At 41.1% G+C, this 21,559-nt stretch overlaps 1 protein-coding gene across 1 annotated transcript in view, besides 1 other annotated feature; it reads right to left on the bottom strand.

Moving 5' to 3' along the window:
- SNX9 (sorting nexin 9) overlaps nucleotides 1–21,559 on the bottom strand; it is a 121,832-nt gene that overhangs the window by 64,252 nt on the left and 36,021 nt on the right. Inside the window, exons 2-4 of the mRNA NM_016224.5 lie at nucleotides 13,193–13,279; nucleotides 7,650–7,724; nucleotides 5,650–5,775 (exon numbers count right to left, since the gene is read on the bottom strand). Of these exons, the coding sequence (NP_057308.1) occupies nucleotides 5,650–5,775; nucleotides 7,650–7,724; nucleotides 13,193–13,279 (288 nt within the window). The remainder of the gene's footprint in view (nucleotides 1–5,649; nucleotides 5,776–7,649; nucleotides 7,725–13,192; nucleotides 13,280–21,559) is intronic.
- Nucleotides 6,946–7,015: a silencer, noted in NCBI's record as "silent region_17728". NCBI's record gives its function as "represses an Ori minimal core promoter by ATAC-STARR-seq in GM12878 lymphoblastoid cells {active_cell/tissue: GM12878}" and the evidence as "EXISTENCE:reporter gene assay evidence [ECO:0000049][PMID:35858748]".

Genomic DNA, 21,559 nt, shown 5'->3' with positions numbered 1-21,559 from the left:
AGATCTGGGATTAAAACCTAGACAGTCTGGCTCCTAAACTCACTGCCTTGACACCAAGCTAGGTTGCCTCTTAAGGAGGAGAGAAAAGACAGGAAATCTGTTAGAACAATGGATCTCAATCAGTTCCCTCTTTCCACATCTCAAGGATGCAGAGCACGCCTCTCAATAACTGTGGCTCACGATGGCACTCGGTTAGGGTTTTAAAGCAGAATAAAAAGAGGGCACAGAAAGAAGTAACATTTCAGAGAAACAGAAACAGGAAAGTCAGGAAGAGAAACTAGTTTTGTGGGGAAATAAGTGATTCGGTTGAAGATGAATTTCAGATACAAAGGAGACATGCTGATAGAACTGTTCAACAAAAAGCTAGAAATTGGGCAAATCAAAGAGAAAATTCAAGATTAGAGAGACACTTTATAAGGGAATCTACACGATTAGAGAGGGTAGAATAGTGAGAGAGGCTGGAACACAAAAGGGTAAGTGGATTGAAGACCCCCTTTTAAAGGAGGGAAGAAGTGGGAAAAGAAGGAAAATATTTATGAAATATCTTCCATGTGTCCGGCACTACTTTATATTGGTGGCCTAATCCACTGACTATTCAGGAGGTTCAGGAGGCAGGTCTTATGCCAAAGCCACAATTCTTACACAGTGGAGCCGCACTGGCAAGCCTGGATCTAACAGCAAAGCTTACATGCTTCCCACCACACCACTCACCTGGGGACTGGCGGGGTGTGAAACAGAAAAACAGAGAGATGCCAGGGAGAGCATGTGACAGAGGCCAGAAGGGCTCTCAGCAAAACAAAAGCAGCTTTATTCCAAGTATACACATCTTTCTAGTATTTGAAGGAGACAGAAAACAAACCTCTCAAGTAGAAAACCTTCAGATAAGACATCTAGGTTTACAGAACTTTTAAGTAGCTTTTAAACCTCATTGTTCTCATTCTTTAGAAAGGTACAAACAAAAACTTTCTATTAATTTCTCAAAAGTAAGTACTCTAAAGAAGCAGTAATCTGAGAGTTTAAGATCTATACTGAAACCTTTTCAGAATCACAGCAGTGATGTAATCTAAACAACAATAACTGATGAAAAACAAGACTAGCACACACAGGAGTAGAGATTTTTAACAATTGAGATTCATTCCCATCAGCTGGTCCATTCATTCTAGTGGTTCAGCCACTAACGTGAAATACTCTTGAAACTGTGAAATAACCGATAAGTAACTAATAATGAAACTAATATTAACCACTAAAAACTATGCTTTCTTTTCAAAGGTAATAAAATGGTTGTCCTTATCTGGGTAATATAAAATCTGTATTTGAATAAGAAAATGAAGAGAGTTTGATTCAGTTCCTGGGTATCCTTCAATACATTTTCTACACACTTTGCATCTATGGTGTGTGTGTATGTGTGTGCACTGAAACACAAGAAAGATAACATTACCCATACTGAGGTGCCTTTTAAAAAAATCATACCTCTATCTGTACATCTAAATCTACCCTCACTCTCCCTAAGGGAAGCTCAGCTTTCCACTGCGTGGCTGCCTATAGTTCATCTGATCAGTCCCCTGCTGACAGACATTTACATTCCGGTTTTCTGCTGTTACAAACAATGCCGTAGGAAACGTTCTTGCCCAGAAACCTGCGTTCTGCGAGCAGATCTGCAGGAGGAACTCAGAACCGCTGGGCCTTAGAGATATGCATTGTAAATACTCATATACATTACCGAACCAGCCCCGAAAAGCTTCATCACTTTATCCTTTCCCTCGCTTTGTATGACATTGCCTGTCTGACCACACCTGTATGACACTAGCTTTTAAACTGTTTTCATTCTCTGCTAGTTTGATAGAAGAATCTTAAAATGAGCATTTTCCCAAGTATATTAACTATTAGTACCTTCCCCCACCAAAGGACAGCCTGTTTATACACTTTACCTATTTTTCTGAATTCTTCATCTTTTTCTTACAGATTAGCAAGAGTGTATGTATATGAATGGAATTAGCCTGTATCCGTCATAAGTCAGAAGTATTTTTGCTAATTTAATATTACTTGTTTACTTAAATGTATCAATTATATCCTTAATGGCCACTAGACTTTGTGCTGTCAGTCTCAGAAAGGGCTTCCATAGGCCGGATGCAATTGGGAGGCTGAAGTGGGCGGATCACAAGGTCAGGAGTTTGAGACCAGCCTGGCCAATATGGTGAAACCCCATCTCTACCAAAAATACAAAAATTACCTGGGCGTAGTGGCGGGCACCTGTAGTCCCAGCTACTCAGGAGATTGACGCAGGAGAATCATTTGAACCCAGGAGGAGGCAGAGGTTGCAGTGAGCTGACATCACGCCACTGCACTCCAGCCTGAGCGACTGAGCGAGACTCCGTCTCAAAAAAAAAAAAAAAATGGTGGGCTTCCATATTCCAAGATCATAAAAAAAATGCTGTCTATTATTTTCTCCAAGTAGTTTAATAAACAGCTTTATAATTTTCCAAATCAAACTGTTTCAGTCCATTTAAAGAACAACTCATCATATTCCTTTCACACTGACAATTCTAGTCTAAACTGCAGCCAAGCTGAACTGCGTTTTGGCTGATAAAGCGTTTTCTCACCACCAAAAGAGGAAAGCAATCACAGTGGGCCAGGGACCTGGATGCAGCAACACTGCCTTGACACCAGCAACTCTGCTCACCTGAGACTACTCAGTAAGAATCTAGAACCAAAGGGTCCCCCAAGCAACCTGAAATTAGGAGTTTTAAGAAAAACCAAAAGAAAGTGCTATCTTACATAGTAGGTTATACATTTATGAACTAGTTACTCTGAAATGCAGCACAGATTAAGAATACAAAGTCAAGGAAAGAGTAGCAGGCTCGAAATAAGTTATTCAAAGAGATCTTTAAAAAGATATACTTAAAGAAAAATACGACACTCAGGAAGTTGGATAACCAACTGAATGTGGGGCTTCAACTTGCTTGTGTGGGAGGAGAGTCAAATTTAAACTTACTGATGCTAAGATGAGTAAAGAGACACTGGCTCAGAAGTTGGCAGAGTGTGCCAAGCTGAAGAGATGCATGCCTGAGAGGGGATGTGCCCATGGGCCTGATGGACAGGAGAGAGGCCCAGCTTCTCTGAGGTTCCCGCTCTCAAAACAAAACCGACCCTGGGAGAGAGCACAGGCAATCAGAGCCTCCCAAGCAGCTCACCTCAGAGCACACATCTTCCTACCCGCATTCAGAAAATGAAAGCAATGGGCAAACCTGATAGGAAAATGTTTAAAAAGCTACCAATTAATGGTCATCTGGTTTCCTACTCGTGACATCTTTCATGGTATTTACAAAATGTACCCAAATTTTGGCCTACTTAAATTGTTCTCATATCCCAGATAACAGAGGGCAGAGATAGCAGTTAAAATATTTTTACTTGATTTACATTAAATTCAAATGCTCAAATTAATGACGGCTATGCTTTCTGCATTTTGTTAATTCTAGTTTCAGTTCATTTTTCTTTGCTTTCAAAGGATCTGATTAGATTCAATGTTAGACTAGATGCCCCCCCCGCTTTTTTTTTCTTTTATTACCTTCTAAATAACCTAAACGAAACAAATTTTAGACTTATACCAGTTTATATTAAACTACAAGTAAATACCAAGGAATATATTTCCTAACAGAACATGACTTAAATCTGAGTTTTAATTTCTTTTCATTAGCTAAACTGCCTCCACCTATCTTGAGATAATAGCTGGTCAGTCCCTAGAATTAAAATAAGATAAATATTTCTATTTTTTGTTTGCCTCACTTATTCTATGATCTCATTACCTCATTACAATTCTTTTATTAAAATCTTGTCCTTTATTAATGCAAACCCATTTCATGGGTGCTTCTGTATAACTCAGTGAATCTCAACTGGCTTGGCTTTGCTCCTAGGCAACACTTGGCTATATCTGGAGACATTTTTGGTTGTCACAACTGAGGTGGCGTGCATGTGACTGGCACCTGGTAGGTAGAAGCTAGGAAGGCTGCTCAATATCCTGCAGTGCCCAGGATGGGCCCGCCCCACTAGGAAAGGGCGCGGGGCCTCAAACGGCAATGAGGCTCAGGTTGAGAACCCCTGGGAAAACTTCCAGTGAGGTATAACTACTATTCACGTTTCACAGTGAGTAACCCTTACCTGGCCAATGTTCTCAAGTAGTATAGAATAATAAAATACAGAAGAGAATTCTTCAATTACAGTGATCAATCACCTTGCCTGCAAATTTTAAATATCTGAGTCTAATTTGTAATTCAGAATGTCTACAAAAAGCTGTTTTGAAATGTATAAAACCTGCAGTTAGTATATGGTGATAAACTTATATAAACTCACTTGGAAGGTCAATTGACAGATATTCTTTTTCTTTTGAGGAGTCTCACTCGCCCAGGCTGGAGTACAGTGGCACGATCTCGGCTTACTGCAGTGGCCGCCTCCCAGTTCAAGTCATTCTCCTGCTTCAGCCCCCCGAGCAGCTTGGATTACAGGTGCCTGCCACCACACCTAGCTAATTTTTGTATTTTTAGTAGAGATGGGGTTTCACCATGTTGGCCAGGATGGTCTCAAACTCCTGAACTCAGGTGATCCGCCCGCCTCGGCCTCCCAAAGTGCTGGTGGGATTACAGGCGTGAGCCACTGTGCCTGGCTAATAAACAGATATTTTATAAGCAAATACTTGTAAGTGATATGATTATCATCAGGCCTGATAGAATTTAAAACCTTTTATGTAGTTAAAAAAAAAATCAAGAAATAACATCTCCTAAAGCCCATTCATTTCTAAAGATGTAAGCAGTTAACAATATTTTAATTCTTTTTTTTTAACTTTTTTTTTAACGTGTGGAGATGGGGTTTCATCGTGTTGCCCAGGCTTGTCTCGAACTCCAGCACTCAAGCAATCCACCTGCCTTGGCCTCCCAAAGTGCTGGGATTACAGGCGTGAGCTACTGTGCCCAGCAGCAACAATATTTTGATACCTGTCTTCTCAATTTTCTTCTTGTCACTTACTCTGTGTCATCATTTGGCAATAAATGAACTAGACAAATTCACCTAAACTAGTCAAATTTTAATTAAAATTAATGTAAAATTTCCTTGTATTCTTCTCAAGTTATCCCACTATTCTAAGTTTCCTGGAAGCAATACAATAAGAGTACCAAGTGCTGAGTGCCTGGATCTGGTAGACTTTCACAGGCACTGCTTCTACTCGCAGGATGAGGGCCTCTAGCTCTGAGAGTGTAAGCAACATGCCAGGGCCAGGGCATCTATTTCCTGATCCAGGCCGAGGCTCTGACACTGACCTCCTCAACAACAAGAGCCTCCTCTTCTTCCTCTTCTTTCCATGCCTTTATCTAAGAGGGTATTTGCAGTTTCTGGGGTCTGTGTTCATATCATGACAGACTTCTAAAAGCAACCCTCAATACCCTGCCTTTTCTCTTATAATAAATTTTGCAAACAGTCATTATCAGGCTTAACAGGTGATTTCTTTGTTAGTACCCAACAGAAATGCCACAGAACAACCTAAAAGCGACTTTGTTTTTGCTTTTGGGGAATGGCAATAGCTATAATGCATCACAAGCCTTCACAAATACGCTCTGTTTTCCGTAAAGCCAGCCACATCCAGAAGGAGGAAGTGAGACGTACCTGGTGATTGTTGCTGGCAGCCGACGAACTGGCCTGAGCTGTGCTGGCTGAGAGAGAATCAAGGAAGGCTTGGTCAGCCACTGAATTTCCACAAGAAAATTGATCTTTTCCATCACTGGGTAAAATCTGAATAGGAGAAAGAGCCGCAATTATTTTCATAGATTACGGTCACTTCAGGGAGTCTTCGAGGGCAAGCAAGAATTGTCAAAAAGGGTTTATATTCTTCAATGCTACAAATTTCTCTGTAAGCACTGCTTTTGCCGCATACTCATATTTTAATGGGTTGTATTTTCATTTTTATTTAGTTCAAACTATTTTTTAATTTCTCGAGATTTCTTCTTTGATCCATGCATTATTTAGAAGTGGATTGTTCAATCTCTAAGTATTTACAGATTTTCCATCTATCTTTCTGTTTTGATTTCTAGTGTGATTCCATTGTGGTCTCAGGGCAGACACTGTATGATTTCTTTCAAACATGTTGAGGTATGTTTTATGGCTCAGAATATGTGGTCTGTCTTAGAGAATGTTCCATGTAAGCTTGAAAAGAATGTGTATGCTGCTGTGGTTTGATGAAGCAGTCTATAGATGTCCCTAAGTGGACATCAATTTATTGATGGTGCTGAGTTCAACCACGTCCTTACTGATTTTCTGCCTGCAGGATCTATTTCTAATAGAGGGGGTTTTATATTCTTAAAGGTAAGCAAACCCAAGAATATCTGTAATCACTATTCCTTTATATAAGCAGAATCCTAGAAAATCCAATTACTGCCAATATCAACTTAAATTCTCAGATTTTTCTCAATCTTGTCAATTTGTGGGCTCCTGGATGCAAAGTGCATACAAGTAAAACAAGACTTCAACATAAGACCTACGGAGTGAGGCCAGGGGCCTGTGAATAGGGGGTTGCAGTTGTATGGAAAAGGCTGTGGTGTGTGCATGGGCACACGTTTCTGAGGGAAAGCCTAGAGATTGCATCGGATTCTCTGAGGGGTCATGACTCCCCACCCTCACTGTCTATCAACAACAGAAGGACGGCCTTAGATCTCACTCTGCAGACAGGTCCCAGGTAAACATCCTCTGGGGGGAATTCTTTTCTCCTGGAGGTGAACCAAAGGTACCTTTATTCTTGATCTAGCTCCAGTTGTACTCACAGGGCATCAGGAAACCTTCGCTTCTTTCTGTCACCCAACATGAAAGACAAGCTTACCAAGAACCTTCGCTCGGTTTGGAGGGACCGAAAGACAACCAGCAGGGGGCGCCAGGTGGTTGGCTCAGCTTGGGGGTGTCCCAGGCAGGACCAGCCCAGGCTGCTGTGTTGCTCTCCTGGGTATCCATCCTAACAGCTCTACCCAGGAGATCCCCACAGCAGCTCCCCCAAGACACCCCTCTGTCTATGGGAATGGGAGAAGGAACTGAGATATGCACTTAAAAAAATCTATTTAAACTGTGAGTCTATTGTACAATAAACAATATTATAGATGGCAGCAATATCAGCAAAGGAAAAATACGTTATATGTGTCATATTATAAATATATATCTATATTTATAATTTATATAATTTATAATACATTTTATAAAATTTATATATTTTGCTTATAAAAATATAAATATATATTTAAAATGTATATATTAACAGATATATTGAGATATAATTTCATATATCTTATTGAATTTATACAATTTATAATATATATTTATAATATAGATAATATTAGCAAAGGAAAAATACTAACTTTTATTCAGACCAATTAAAAGTTGCTATCCCTGGAAGAAACTTAACCTAAATATCTGTAGTCATTCTTTGAAGCTTGGGTCTACAGGTAATATTTTTCTTAGTTCTATTTCAATGTAGTTTCCATATTTTATATAGTTAACATTTATTATATTTACAATGGAAATTTTGTTTTGCAAAAAGTTGCTGACTTCTTGTAAGTTGATAATTCATAAAAAGATGCCTGGCAAAGATGAGCTCTAATGAATGAATGACAGGAAGCTCTTACTTCAACGTAGTCTGTGGGAACCAGCCCTCGTTCTCCTTTGATGTTTCTTCCTTCCAGCCATCCTCCACCTACATCCTAATAAGTCACCAAAAAAAAAAAAAAAAGAAAAAGATTACAGTTGAGATTTCCTGGAGAAATTTTGTGTGGAGGAATTGTTATACATAAAAAAAGCAATTAACATTAAGCTTTTCATTCCTAGAGAACACCGTTCAAAATCTTAAATTCTTAAGCCTTCTCTTTACTTCAGAAAATGATGTAACCTAAAAACAAGAAAAATCAAACTTCAATAATAAGTGATCAAAGATTGAAAACAGCTGATGATTAGATGACCCTCATCTTGTCTGTGTACTGGTCTGCGGCAGATAATAAAAGTGGCTTGCAGCTCTGAATGTGAAGCGGTGGGATGCGCATCCCAGGCCTGGAATCTGCCCTCTGCCACCTCGCTGGTCAACAGAATCAAGTGGAAATCCTCCAGGGAATCCAGAACCTTGCCTCAAGGGCTTCTGCACACTTCAGCTGACTCTTCTGGCACCCAAGTCGCTATACGAATTAATGTGGGTTGCTAGATGATGACAGAGACCCAGTCTCCCTGTTGCCCCATTCAAAGCCAGCCAACCCAGAGAACTGGCAGACTCATGAGTGAGGCTACCTTAGACCAGTCAGTCCCCAGCAGGGTCCAGTGATTGCAGACACACGCAGTGCAGCTCAGGAGAACCATCAAGCTGACTTGTAGATTCCTAAGCAGTAACAAATGGTTACTGGGTTAAACTAGTAAGTTTTAGGATTGTTATGCAGAAAAAGTGAACTGATCCATGGTTCCTCAGTTCTTCTGGATAAATAATATTAATAAACTAAGTAATAAAGTAGAACTCTATATCCCAGTATTGCCATTTCAATCTATGATCAAAGGAAAAATTGTAACTTTTATTCAGAATAGAAGTTGCTATCCTTGGAAGAAACTTTATCTAAATATTAAACTATTAATGTTGATATTATTATTAATTATTAACAATGTTAAGGGGCAGGTCCCACTTTCTCATCTTAACATAGTAAGAGTTTTTACAGTTTTAAAATAATGCCCTAATTAGTTAATAATCTGAATCTGAATAATCACATTCTCTTAAAAAATCACTTTAAGCCACAACTTTTGTCACTTTCTGACCACAATAGCAACTTGAGGACAAGTTGCTATTTTACCAAGAAAAATTAAATACTTCAATAAAGAAATTAGATGAGGCTGGGTACAGTGGCTCACACCTGTAATCCCAGCTACTCGGGAGGCTGGGGCATGAGAATTGCTTAAACCCAGAAGGCAGAGGTTACAGTGAGCCAAGATCACACCACCTCACTCCAGCCTGGGTGACAGGGTGAGAGCCTGTCTGCAAAAAAAAAAAAAAAAAAAAGGTAAGACTGAAGAATCTTTAATCTCTGCTATGATTAAAACTGAATCTATTTAACTTATACACATCTAGCATTTTTAAAAATTTTTAAAAATTATTATTATACTTTAAGTTCTAGGGTACATGTGCACAACGTGCAGGTTTGTTACATAGGTATACATGTGCCATGTTGGTGTGCTGCACCCATTAACTTGTCATTTACATTAGGTATTTCTCCTAATGCTATCCCTCCCCCCTCCTCCCACCCGACGACAGGCCCTGGTGTGCGACGTTCCCCGCCCTGTGTCCAAGTGTTCTCATTGTTCAATTCCCACCTATGAATGAGAACATGCACACCTAGCATATTATACAAAATTACTACATAATCTTTTTCTACCCAGTGATTTTCTTTTTTTTGAGACACTGTCTCATTTTGTCTCCCAAGCTGACATGCAGTGGCACCATCTTGGCTCACTGCAGCCTGGAACTCCTGGGCTCAAGTGACCCTCCCACCTCAGTCTCCCAAGTAGCTGGGATTACAGGCACGCACTACCACACCCGGCTAAATTTTTGTATTTTTTGTAGAGATGAGGTTTTGCCATGTTACTAAGGCTGGTCTTGAACTGCTGAGCTCAAAGCGATCCCCCTGCCTCGGCCTCCAAAAGTGCTGGGATTACAAGTGTAAGCCACTGCACCTGGCCGATTCTTTTTTCAATCCAAGACATATAAAGTACGTTTTCTAAATATGCTCACTATTCAAAAACTACCATCACTTCTGCCGTTCCTCATTCTCCCTCCTCGATCTTGGCACTGCCACAGTTCTCACTCTCTCCTTCCACAGGAGCTCTGTGTGAGCATGCGAGTGTGCGTGTGCATGACAGCAGGTGAGTGTGTCTGAGGGGTGTGTGCGTGCTTGCACGGGTGAGTGCTGCATCTGTGTGAGAGCAGGAGAGTGTGGGTATGTGTGAGAGCAGGTGAGAGTGTCTGAGGGGTGTGTGTGCTTGCACGGGTGAGTGCATATATGTGTGAGAGCAGGTGAGTGTCTGAGGGGTGTGCATGCTTGCACAGGTGAGTGCATGTATGTATGAGAGCAGGTGAGACTATCTGCAGGGTGTATGTGCTTGCACAGGTGAGTGCTGCATCTGTGTGAGAGCAGGAGAGTGTGGGTATGTGTGAGGGCAGGTGAGAGTGTCTGAGGGGTGTGTGTGCTTGCACGGGTGAGTGCATATATGTGTGAGAGCAGGTGAGAGTGTCTGAGGGGTGTGCGTGCTTGCACAGGTGAGTGCATGTATGTGTGAGAGCAGGTGAGACTATCTGCAGGGTGTATGTGCTTGCACGGGTGAGTGCTGCATCTGTGTGACAGCATGTGAGTGTGCGTGTGTGAGAGCAGGTGACAGTGTCTGAGGGGTACATGCACTCACACGGGTGAGTGCTGCATGTGTGAGAGCATGAGTGTGAGTGTGAGCGCAGGTGAGAGAGTAGGTGTGTGTGCGTGCTCACACGTGAGTGCATATGTGAGAGCATGAGCGTGGGGATGTGAGAGAGCAGGTGAGAGTGTCTGAGGGGATGTGTGTGCTTGCATGTGTGAGTGCATATGTGTATGTGTGAGAGCATGAGTGTGGGTGTGCATGAGAGCAGGTGAGTGAGGGGTGTGTGTGCTCACATGTGTGAGTGCAGGTGTATGTGTGACAGCATGAGTGCGGATGAGGGCAAGTGAGAGTGAAGAGGGTGTGTGTGCGTGCTCACACGTGTGAGTGCTGCCTATGTGTGTGAGCATGCGACTGTGGGTGTGCATGAGAGGTGAGAGTGAGAAGGTACGTGTGTGTAAGAGTGCACACGTGAAAGAGTATGTAAAGTGTATGAGAGCATGAGAGGTGTATGAGGGTGCGAGGTGTGTGCGCATGTGTGTGCATGTGCACGCATAAGGGTGTGTGCGAGTGTGTGTGGGGGTATGCATAATGTGAGAGAGTGCGTGAGAGTACGTACATGGGTGCACGTGTGTGTGCCTGTGCACGTGCACAGGGAAAGGCTGGCGAGGTCTGATGGGGCCCATGGTGGGGTGTCTCACAGACCTACAGCTGACAGAAAATGCTGCCAGCGAGGAATGACCTGGCCACACTGGCCGTTTAGACAGACCCTGGGCTTGAGGCAAGGCCAGTGAGGAAGGTGCATGGTCCAGGCAAGAGGATGAGAGCTTAGCTCAGGGCGCTGGCAGGAAGCGCAGGGTGGAGAGAAGAGGCTGGACAGAGTAAAACTCTAGGGAGAGAAACCAATGGCTTTAAGTGACTTAGCCTTGGGGGCCTTGGTTCACTGAATGGAAAGGCGCCACAACAGAAATACAGAGAAATACAGAGAAGTAGGAGTAGGCTGAGCATCACATGGGTGATGAGCTGAGTCTGGACGTGGTCAGTGTGAAGTGCTTGTGAAAAAACTAGGTGAAGGTGTCTGGCCTCCTCTGAGGCTGGAGCCACAGGAGGAAGCTGCAGATACAGGTTTAAAGTCATCACCACAGAGACGGCAATACAAAAATCTGAGACCGCATAGTGTAAAGAAATGGGCTGAAGGTGGAATGACGTGGGAACCCCAACACTCGTGAGGCAGAGAGGGGAGGGACACAAGAGGACAGCCAGTGAGGCCGGGGAGAGGTGTGTGGGATCCAACATGTTCTACAGCACAGACACAACAAGTTCCCTTCTGGAAACATTCAGTAAGAAACACTGGCATGCAGACCTCTCTGGAAAACAAGGAGCACAGGGCAAGGGCCAGGTTTCCTGTCTTTGTATCTCCAGGGTACCTCTCCCAAGACTGCACACACATTAAGTATGAGTGACGGTCACGAGGGAGAGGACACAGAAGAGACACGTTGCAGTGTGGGGCCCAGAGGCGGAGGCGTGGACCAAGGACAGGCATGCACAGGGCAGTGTCACGAAATCAGCCAGGTGAAGAAAGCAGGTAACGATGGGTTCAAGTTTTACTCAGTTTACAAAGACAAATTCTCCCTATCTGCTTTTGTTCCTTCTCCATCTATATAAGCCTGCAATGAAATACTATTAATTGATACAATTTTTGTTACATTATTTCAAATGATGTTCATCTCATAATTTTGCTACATATTTTAAGAACAGTTACAATAAAGTTACATGTAAAAAGGACAATTAAATGTAATGAGACAAGTATCACACAGAAATAATGGAAAAAACTGTAACAGAATCTTGGGCAAAGAAGATTGGACACAAATGAATATTATGTTTGCCTCTAAGCTTCCTGACAACACAGACCATAACAGAAATCCAATAGTCTACAAAGATTTGACTTTATGAAACAAAATGTACCCAATCTCCAGGAGAAAGAACCTGAGATAAGAGATCACATAGATGCTTCTCTGGGAGGGCATAATAAACCCAGTTATATAAGCAGAGACACACATCTGAAGATGAGTGTATCTATGTGTACATATGTATACATATGAGTGTACCTGAAGATGCATGTGTGTATGTATATGTACACAATTTCAAACAGGGTTTGGTAAAGATGCAGAAATGCTTTTTATACATAGAGTTGCTTCTTGTTTGAATAAAAGCTGAGGCAATAACTTGTAATTCAGCAAAGAGAACTCCACTGGGAGCTGAGCTAACTCCACTGGAGCTGGTCTAAGTATATTGCTTTCTGGCAACCTAATCTGATTTAGGAAAAGAGCTTAGAAAAATGATGATAGGATCAATCAGTTAAGACATTTAGGAAAATCACCATCATCTTTTACTTATTCTAGAGATACAGTATTATCATGCTAGGGGTAAACACACTGAACCATGTTCCAGGACAACTATGGGGTACCTAAAAGGTTGTAAGTAATTTAAAAAATTGTAAGATAAACATATCGAAGAAGATACAAAATAAGCAGACATAATAAACTCAATTACATACATAACTGTCTTTAGGGAACTTTTTTCCTGTATTTATATAACAGCTTCTTACTTCACCATCAATATTTCATAAGCAACAGGAAAAAAATCATGTGGGTTTGAATGATTAACTTACAAAAAAATAAAATCTTAAAAATAAGTCCACATGGGACAATCAGACTCGAATGTACAGTTCTCTTACCGGATTTGTTAAAAATAAGTCCACATGGGACAATCAGACTCGAATGTACAGTTCTCTTACCGGATTTGTGATTGTGATGATTTCTCCTTCATTAACCGTCAGTTCATTATTTCCAGGTTCAGCAGCAAAATCATACATAACCCGAGCCTATCAGGAGTGGAGAGGAAAAGAGGATGTTACAAACACAAACAGAGTAGTAAAAACACAAAAGGTGTACAGTTCACTTTCTAAGCATGCTGGTACAAACATGATAGTGGCTGTGGCTGTTTTGGAAGAAAGGAAGACATTACCAAAATGACTCATCTGCTCTACTCTGAGGAAGAATAACACCAACGGTGATAGCCCTGTTCTGTTCCGGAGGCAGGGAAGGTTTCTGGCAGCTGCCCACATTGCATTTAGAGATCAACCCTAAAAAAGTTACTCGAAATATACCTATTTTGGTTGAGTGCAGCAGCTCACACCTGCAATCCCTGCTACTTGGGAGACTAAATAGCAGGAGGATTGCTTGAGGCCAGGGGTTCGAGACCAGCCTGAGCAACAAAGCGAGATTCCATCTCTACCAAAAAATTAAAGAAAAATTAGCTGGGCATTGTAGCCAGCACCTGTAGTACCAGCTACTGAAAAAACTGAGGCGGGAGGATTGCTTGAGCCCAGGAGGTCAAAGTTACAGTAAGCCAGGATCATGCCACTGCACTCCAGCCTGCACGACAGTGAGACCCTGCAGTCTCTTAAAAAAACAAACAAACAAACACCTATTTCATTAACAACAACAACAGACTATCTTCTTTCTCTTAGGAGGTAAGAAGTGGAAATACACAAACTGTTCATTCTGGGAACACTGACTCTCAGAAACTGAAGACAGAGACATACACACACGCACACACATCTAAGATTCACACATCTTTAGAAGAATCGCTTGCTATTAAAATGTTCACTGCTCCTTATCTAATAAGAATGATAATGCAGCATCTTTAGCCACATTAACTCAGAAATTTAAGATTTGGGTACTCTTCCACCATACCAAGACTTACATAGGGCAGTGTGTGCTGGTCGAGTTACCTAAACAGCCATGATTTTAAAACGTTTCCTTAAAATAAAAGCTTTTATTTATTTATTTTTCCAGACAGAGTTTCACTCTGTCACCCAGGCTGGAGTGCAGTGGTGCCATCATGGGTCAATGCAGCCTCGACCTACCAGGCTCAAGCAATCCTCCCACCTCAGCCTCCCCAGTAGCTGGGACTACTGGCACATGCCACCCTGCCCAGCTAATTTTTGTATTTTTTGTAGAGATAAGGTTTCACCATGTTGCCTAGGCTGGTCTCAAACTCCTGGGCTCAAGAGATCTTCCTCTCAAAGTATTTGGGTTACAGGTGTGAGCCACTATGACCAGCCCTAAATGAAATTTTTATTTCATATAAGACAGACTAGGACAAAGCTATTCTGGCTGGAGTAAGGAGGGACTGCTCTTGCAGGCTCTTCCTCAAGAGGATCCTTGAGACAGGGTCCAGAAACACTGACTCCTTGGAACACTGCTGTGCATGTATCCCAAGAGAGAATCACCGTGGTAAAAACAAGGTATGTGTTTAAAATGTTTTATATATACCTTTATAATATATAATACATAATTTAAATCCTTTTCAAATTCTAAGTGATTGTCTTTCACAGACTATCTTCCTCAAGTCCATCCTATAAACTGGGGATCACATGCGCCTAGGAAACATATGGTTTAAAAGTAATTGTTTGTCCTCAAAGGCAAATTCAAGTTTAGCGACAGGGCTAGTCTAACAGGGCTAATGCAAGTGCACTAATTTAACAATATTTACTGAACACCCACCATATGGCAAGAACTTGAAAGGCCCTTTTGTTGGCCATTGCCCTTTCTATGTATTTGCTTAATGATGCCTGAAATTATTTTAATGAGAATAAAGGTTCATATTTAGTGATAACAGACTAAGAAAAAAAAGCCAAAATGCTATCTTGAAATACATAAAAAATAGTAAGATGGACTGATGGACGAATATGTGACAAAGCAGGTACTGAATCTAGATGGTGGATCTATGGTATTCAATTCCAACCTTTCTCCATGTCTGAAATTTCTCCTAGTAAACTGTTGGGAAGAAACAAATGGTGGGAAAGCCTGTGAGTCAAGACATCCCAGCAGCTCCCCACCTCCATCCTTGGAGGCTGGGACCCGAGTGGAGATCATGGCAGGGCGCCCAGGCCAGCAGGACGGCTCCCCTCAGGGCGTCATGAAGAACAAAGCAGCCATGCTGAGGTGTTTTCCTGACATGGCTGCAAAAGTGGACAGAATTCTGCTTGTCATGTTATGTGGTGTTTTTTTTTTTTTTTTTTTCCTGAGACTGTTTCGCTCTTGTTGCCCAGGCTGGAGTGCAGTGATGCCATTTGGGCTCACTGCAACCTCTGCCTCCTGGGTTCAAGCGATTCTCCTGCCTCAGCCTCCCAAGTAGCTGGGACTACAGGCGCCTACCACCACACTTGGCTAATTTTCATATTTTTAGTAGAGACAGGGTTTCACCATGTTGGTCAGGCTGGTCTCAAACTCCTCACCTCAGGTGATCCACCCGCCTTGGCTTCCCAAAGTGTGGGATTACAGGCGTGAGCCACCATGCCTGGCTGCGGTAGTTTTTGTTTTTGTTTTGTTTTGTTTGAGCCAGAGTCTCTCTCTGTCGCCAGGCTAAAGTGCAGTGGCAAGTCTCAGCTCACTGCAACCTCCACCTCCTGGATTCAAGCAATTCTCCTGCCTCAGCCTCCCGAGTAGCTGGGATTACAGGCATGCGCCACCACACCCAGCTAATTTTTGTATTTTTGGTAGAGACGAGGTTTCACCACGTTGGCCAGGATGGTCTCGATCTGTTGACCTCATGATCTGCCCGCCTCGGCCTCCCAAAATACTGGGATTACAGGTGTGAGCCACCATGCCCGGCTGGTGTTTTTTAAAAACACATTGCATCAACCTGGATCCTTCCTGCCATGAGGACAGACAGGACAGAAATGCGGGCAGGGGACGGGCTGGAAGGAAGCGAGCCCTCAGAGTGGAGCCTGGGAGAAGCAAAGCCACACTCACGGGCATGAGGAACCTGCTGTTGTGTTATTGGTCCTCAAGAATCCTGCTGAAATTTTTAAAAATCCAGCTGAATCCAATTAGTTTCCAAATATAGAATACCTAAGCCTCTTGTTTACTAAACTTAGAATGTAGTGAAGCAGAATGTGAAACAAGTGAGAAAGAAAGAAATGGAAACAGCCTCACACACTTAAATATTACTAAGCACTTACTCACTGCTAAGGTTAGAGGGTTTGGACCCTCCAAAACTCATGTTGAAACTGAACCCCCAAGGCAGTGGTATTGGGAGGTGCGGCAAATGGGGGGCGTTTAGGTCACGGAGGCTTTGTCCTCAAGAGGGGATCAACACTGCTACAAAAAGGGCTCGTGGGAGTGGGTTTACTCTCGCTCACCCGTCTGCTGTGTCAGGACACAACACCCTTACCCCTGGAGGAGGGAGCACTCAAGGCGCCATCTTGGAAGCAGAGCCGGGCCCTACCCTGCCAGCACCTAGATCTTGAACCGCCTGCCTCCACAGTTATGAGGAATAAATTCTGTTCTTTATAAGTTACCCAGTCGTAGATCTCCTGTTGTAAGCACAAAACAGACAAGGACATTCACAGAAAAATGTTTATAAACCTTGTAAGTTTATCTAAAACACTGAATTAAGACTTAAACAGATGCTTCTTAGAAATCTGAACTGAGAATAATTTTGGAGAAAAAAGGATTTAATAACCATATCTCCAAATAAGTATAACATGTCAATAAAAAAACATATTGACCATTCAGCCTAGAGATGCTAAAGCTTCAATTAAACTGAAAGCTTTTGGGCGTCATCTCCCAGCACCCCTCTTTTCTCTTTCCTATCCTTGCATTTTGCCTCCACCTGTTTTCTCACTTTCCCCTTCTCACCCCTCTTGTCTACCACTAACAGTATCCAAACAGACAGAGGTGCTGGCCTCAACCCCAACTGCCATCTATTTTCCATGTGGTCTTTGAAAGAAATGGTCCATTTTCCTATACTGCATTTTCCACTATTAGCTATACTTCAAGAACTCATTCTTCAACTATTTCTAAGAGCTAAATTTCCACCTAGTCCTGGTCAGTGGATAACTCCAAACTATATATTCAATATATATTGTCAACCACAACTAATCTCTTCCTTTCAAAAAGTATTACAGATGACATGAATGGCTACTAGACATCAATCTCACGTATCTGTTCCATTAACTACTAATCTACTTATCAGTAAAATAAACATTAGTGGATTCAAAGCTCTCCATTCAATGCTCCAGACACTAGAATACCAAGTGTGCAAGCACACATCTGCCCACAATGTGCATAATCCATTCTTAACACATACCTCCTCTTCTGAGAAAAGAGAGGAGTATGACCATACACATTCTATCTGACCTATGTTGTACATATCTGTTATTCTGTCTGCCCCACATCCCTTCCTTTTGGAAACTGGATAATCAGAATTCTTTCTCAGAGCTCTTTGGTATGGGAGTTGGGGACAGTGCTCCTTCTCTCTGGTATTGCTGTCAATGGCTAACTGGCTGAGGTGTGGAGAAAGTCTGTCTGAAAAACGAAGTCAATGTAGCACAGAATGACAAAGAGAAACAGTGTCCTGTTTGAAGGACAAACTTGACACTCATTCTCCCCATGGAAGACTTCTCTGTTACTGGAGCCAATGTATCTCCTCATGAGCTTATTAAACTGTCAGTCCACATCTTGTCACTTGCAACCTAGAGAGTCCAAGTTAATACAAACCAATAACCCCAAACCAAAGAATTTATTAAGGAAACATTCTAATTTAAAAAAACACTGGCCATAAGAACTAAGAACTACCTGTATTTATTAAGCAAAAATGAAAACCAAAAAACTAGATCCTAAAATGCACAACAATAGAGAATAAAACAGTTCAAAATAGGAAGGAAAAAAAATTCACAAAACCCTGGCAATAAAAAAAGTTCATATGGGAGTTAGAATGCAAAAGCTAAGGCCCCATTCTTAAGTATCTACCTCTCTGATTGCATATAAATCACAATTACATCTTAGGGAAAAAAGCAGTAAATCTTCAACAGTGTTGCTCCTCATCTTTAAAACAGAAAAGTACAATTAAAAAATAAAATATGTAAATCTTCAGAAATTCCAGGGAAAGAATGATTTGACACCCTCGAGAAGTGAAGTTTTGCATAAAGAGTAGGTAATATTTCTATGTATAACTAGTTTACCTCTTTAAATGGCAAGCTTGTTTAACTTAAGCACATTCATGACTTACAAAATTGTATAATATTTAACGTCTTCCTCAATCTTATCTTGACTTATTAAGATCATCAGAAGAAACAGAACTTACTTTCACAGACCCTGAGCATTATTATGCTATTAACATATGTTGATGTATTTGTCCTTAATCTAAATGGTGAAGGCATAAATGCTTTTCAATATAAGTAGTCCCTCCTCCACAGTTTCACGTTCCTCGGTTTCAGTGAACTGCTATCAAATGCAGTTGGAAAATATTAAATAGAAAATTCCAGAAATAAACAATTTATCAGTTTTAGAGTCCATGCCATTCTGAGTAGCATGATGCAATCTCACACTCTCCCACTCAGGACATGAATCATCCCTTTGTCCAGCATCTCTACACCATAGACACTGCCCACCTGACTGTCATGTAGTAGCCGTCCCATTTAGTAGACTGACTATCAGGTATGGCAGTGCTCATCTTCAGGTCATCCTTATTTTACTTAATAATGACCCTGATGCACAAGAGTGGTGTTGCTGGCATACTATAATAACTGTTCTATTTTATTATTAGTTATTCTTGTGCATCTCTTACTGTATCTAATTTATAAATTAACTTTGTCATAGGCATATATAGAAAAAACATAGTACACACATAAGGTTTGGTATTATCCTTGGTTGCAGGCATCCCTGGAGGTCTCGGAACATATCCCCCGTCACTAAAGGGGGACTACTGCATATCAGTGATTTCCACAGCTTTTGCTCAACCTTGCGCTTACTCCACTGTTATGTGAACTAAATACAGAATATTATAGTTATCGCTATAAAATTTCAAGCTATTAGATTCAACCCACTGCTCCAACCTATTAAGAGCTTTCTGAATTCTGAAGCCATCATCCAATTCTCCCTTATCTTTTCTTGCTGGGAGTCATCGGAAAGCCTGATGAGCACGCTTTCTACAGTTTCACCAGTGTCATTATTCAAACTGTTAAACTATGGCAGGGCCAAGTCAGCTGCACCAGATAAGAAGCTCCAAGGGGATGCGGGTCAATTAATTATCATGTTCTCAGAATGTTGCTCTTAAAATTTCCAAAGAAGGAAATGAAGTTTCCTTAAATGTTGAGAAGCAATTTCTTTAATAATCCATTCAAAAGTATAGTCAAGATGATAGAACATTTTAACAGTTGTTCTAGCAAAAGATCTTTTCCAAACAGAAGAAATTTCTAAAAAGAATTGGTAGCAGCAATTGAGAATGAATAAAAATTTTTAAATATTCTGTATGTAAAATTTTCAAGAATAAACTACTGGTAAATTGATATGTTCTTTAAAAATGTTTTTTCCTAAAATAGGTTTATATCTGTTATTCTGAAACAAATGCACTTAGAGGAATTTTTTAAACTGATGGTCAATTAGACAAGCAGTTTGGGAAATTTCCAAGTCAAACAGAAATGTAAATAGAAATTCCCTGAGTAGAATTACAAATTCCCAAGAAATACTTAGTGTAAACTTAAATCTGAGTGTAACAAAAGGCGACTGTACAATTCTAGGGGAGCAGAGTTCTGAGTACTTAAAATACATAAATCAAATTGTACCATACTCTTCCAAACTGCTCTCCCTCTCTCTGTAGTTCACTCGTGCAGAACAGCTCTGGAAAGTACTTAAGACCACAGGAAATACAAACTGAGGCTACACTGTAACCAAACTTCTAGAGATTGGGATGATTTTAAGAGTCATTCTACCCACACTCACCCAGATCAAAGCTTCTATATGCGGTGCACACAAGAACAATTAGACAAAGATATCTTAACAGTGATTTGATGTGGTGGCATCAACTGGCCATATCACATGTACCATCACGATTACCAAGTAATGTGTCAAAACAGATACTTCTGAAACCTACGTGTGACTGCCTGTGCTGTGCCTTACTTCATAATTAAACACACAAAACTTGAATTTAATTGGATATTTTATTGTATTTGAGAGACCGCATCTTGCTCTGTCACCCAAGCTGGAGGGCAGTGGTGCAATCATGGCTCACTGCAGCCTTGAACTCCTGGGCTCAAGCAATTCTCCTGCCTCAGCCTCCTGATAGACAGGACTACAGGCACATGCCACCACTCCTGGCTAATATTTTATTTTTTAATTTTTTTAAAGAGACGAGATCTCACTATGTTGCCTAGGCTATTTTTTTAAGGCCATGTCAAAATGGCTGTATCATACAAAACACTTTGATTTTATTGCTTTAAATGAGGGGTTGCTTTTCCTTTTTCTGTACAGGACCAGATAGTAAATATTTTCGAGTTTGCAGGCCATTCAGTCTGTCTCTGCTGCCGCAGTGCAAAAGCCACCACAGACAATATATAAACAAATGGATATGGCCACGTTCCAGTGGAACTTTATTTACAAACTGCACATGACAGGCTAGATTTTGTTCATGGGCCAAAATTTGCTGACTCCTATAACATGACCCGGAACAAAATTATGTAAAAATCACTAGTCTTAACATACAGCAGAAGTCATAAAGGAAAGAGTATTTTCAATTCATATCACAAAGTGTTAATCTTCTGATACATAAAGAGTTTCTGGAACTCAAGAAAAAGACCAGCAACCTAATACAAAAATGGGCAGAGGAACAAACAGTTCATTAAAGAATACAATGGCCCTTAAATGCATGACAAAACGCTCAATCTCACACACTAAGAGAGACAAATTAATCTGGCAGACATTGCCAGATCCCCACGGCCACAATTTGGGGTTGTACTATTTAAACTTCTACCAGTATTATATACGAAAGTAACATTTTTCTACAGCTTCACAAACAGAATAAATCACTCCACTTTTCGATTTCTGCAAATCTGATGCTAAGGAATGCTACCCCAATATAGCTTCTACTAACAGGCAACTGATTAAATAAACCAGGCTATGCTGTCAAAATGGAATATTATACAGCAACAAGAGAATGAGAACAATCTATATACTCAGACATGGAATGAATACATGGTCAAAAAAGGTAACTTATGGAACAGGGCATATAGCATGCTACACCTTTTTCATGAGCAGAATATTTATATTTGCCAGTATTTCCATAAAGAAACATTAAATAAAACAAGAAATTAATT

The sequence above is a fragment of the Homo sapiens genome, chromosome 6 (genome assembly GCF_000001405.40).
Source record: "Homo sapiens chromosome 6, GRCh38.p14 Primary Assembly".
Taxonomy (NCBI): Eukaryota; Metazoa; Chordata; class Mammalia; order Primates; family Hominidae; genus Homo; species Homo sapiens.
This window is presented reverse-complemented; position numbering and strand designations above follow the sequence as displayed.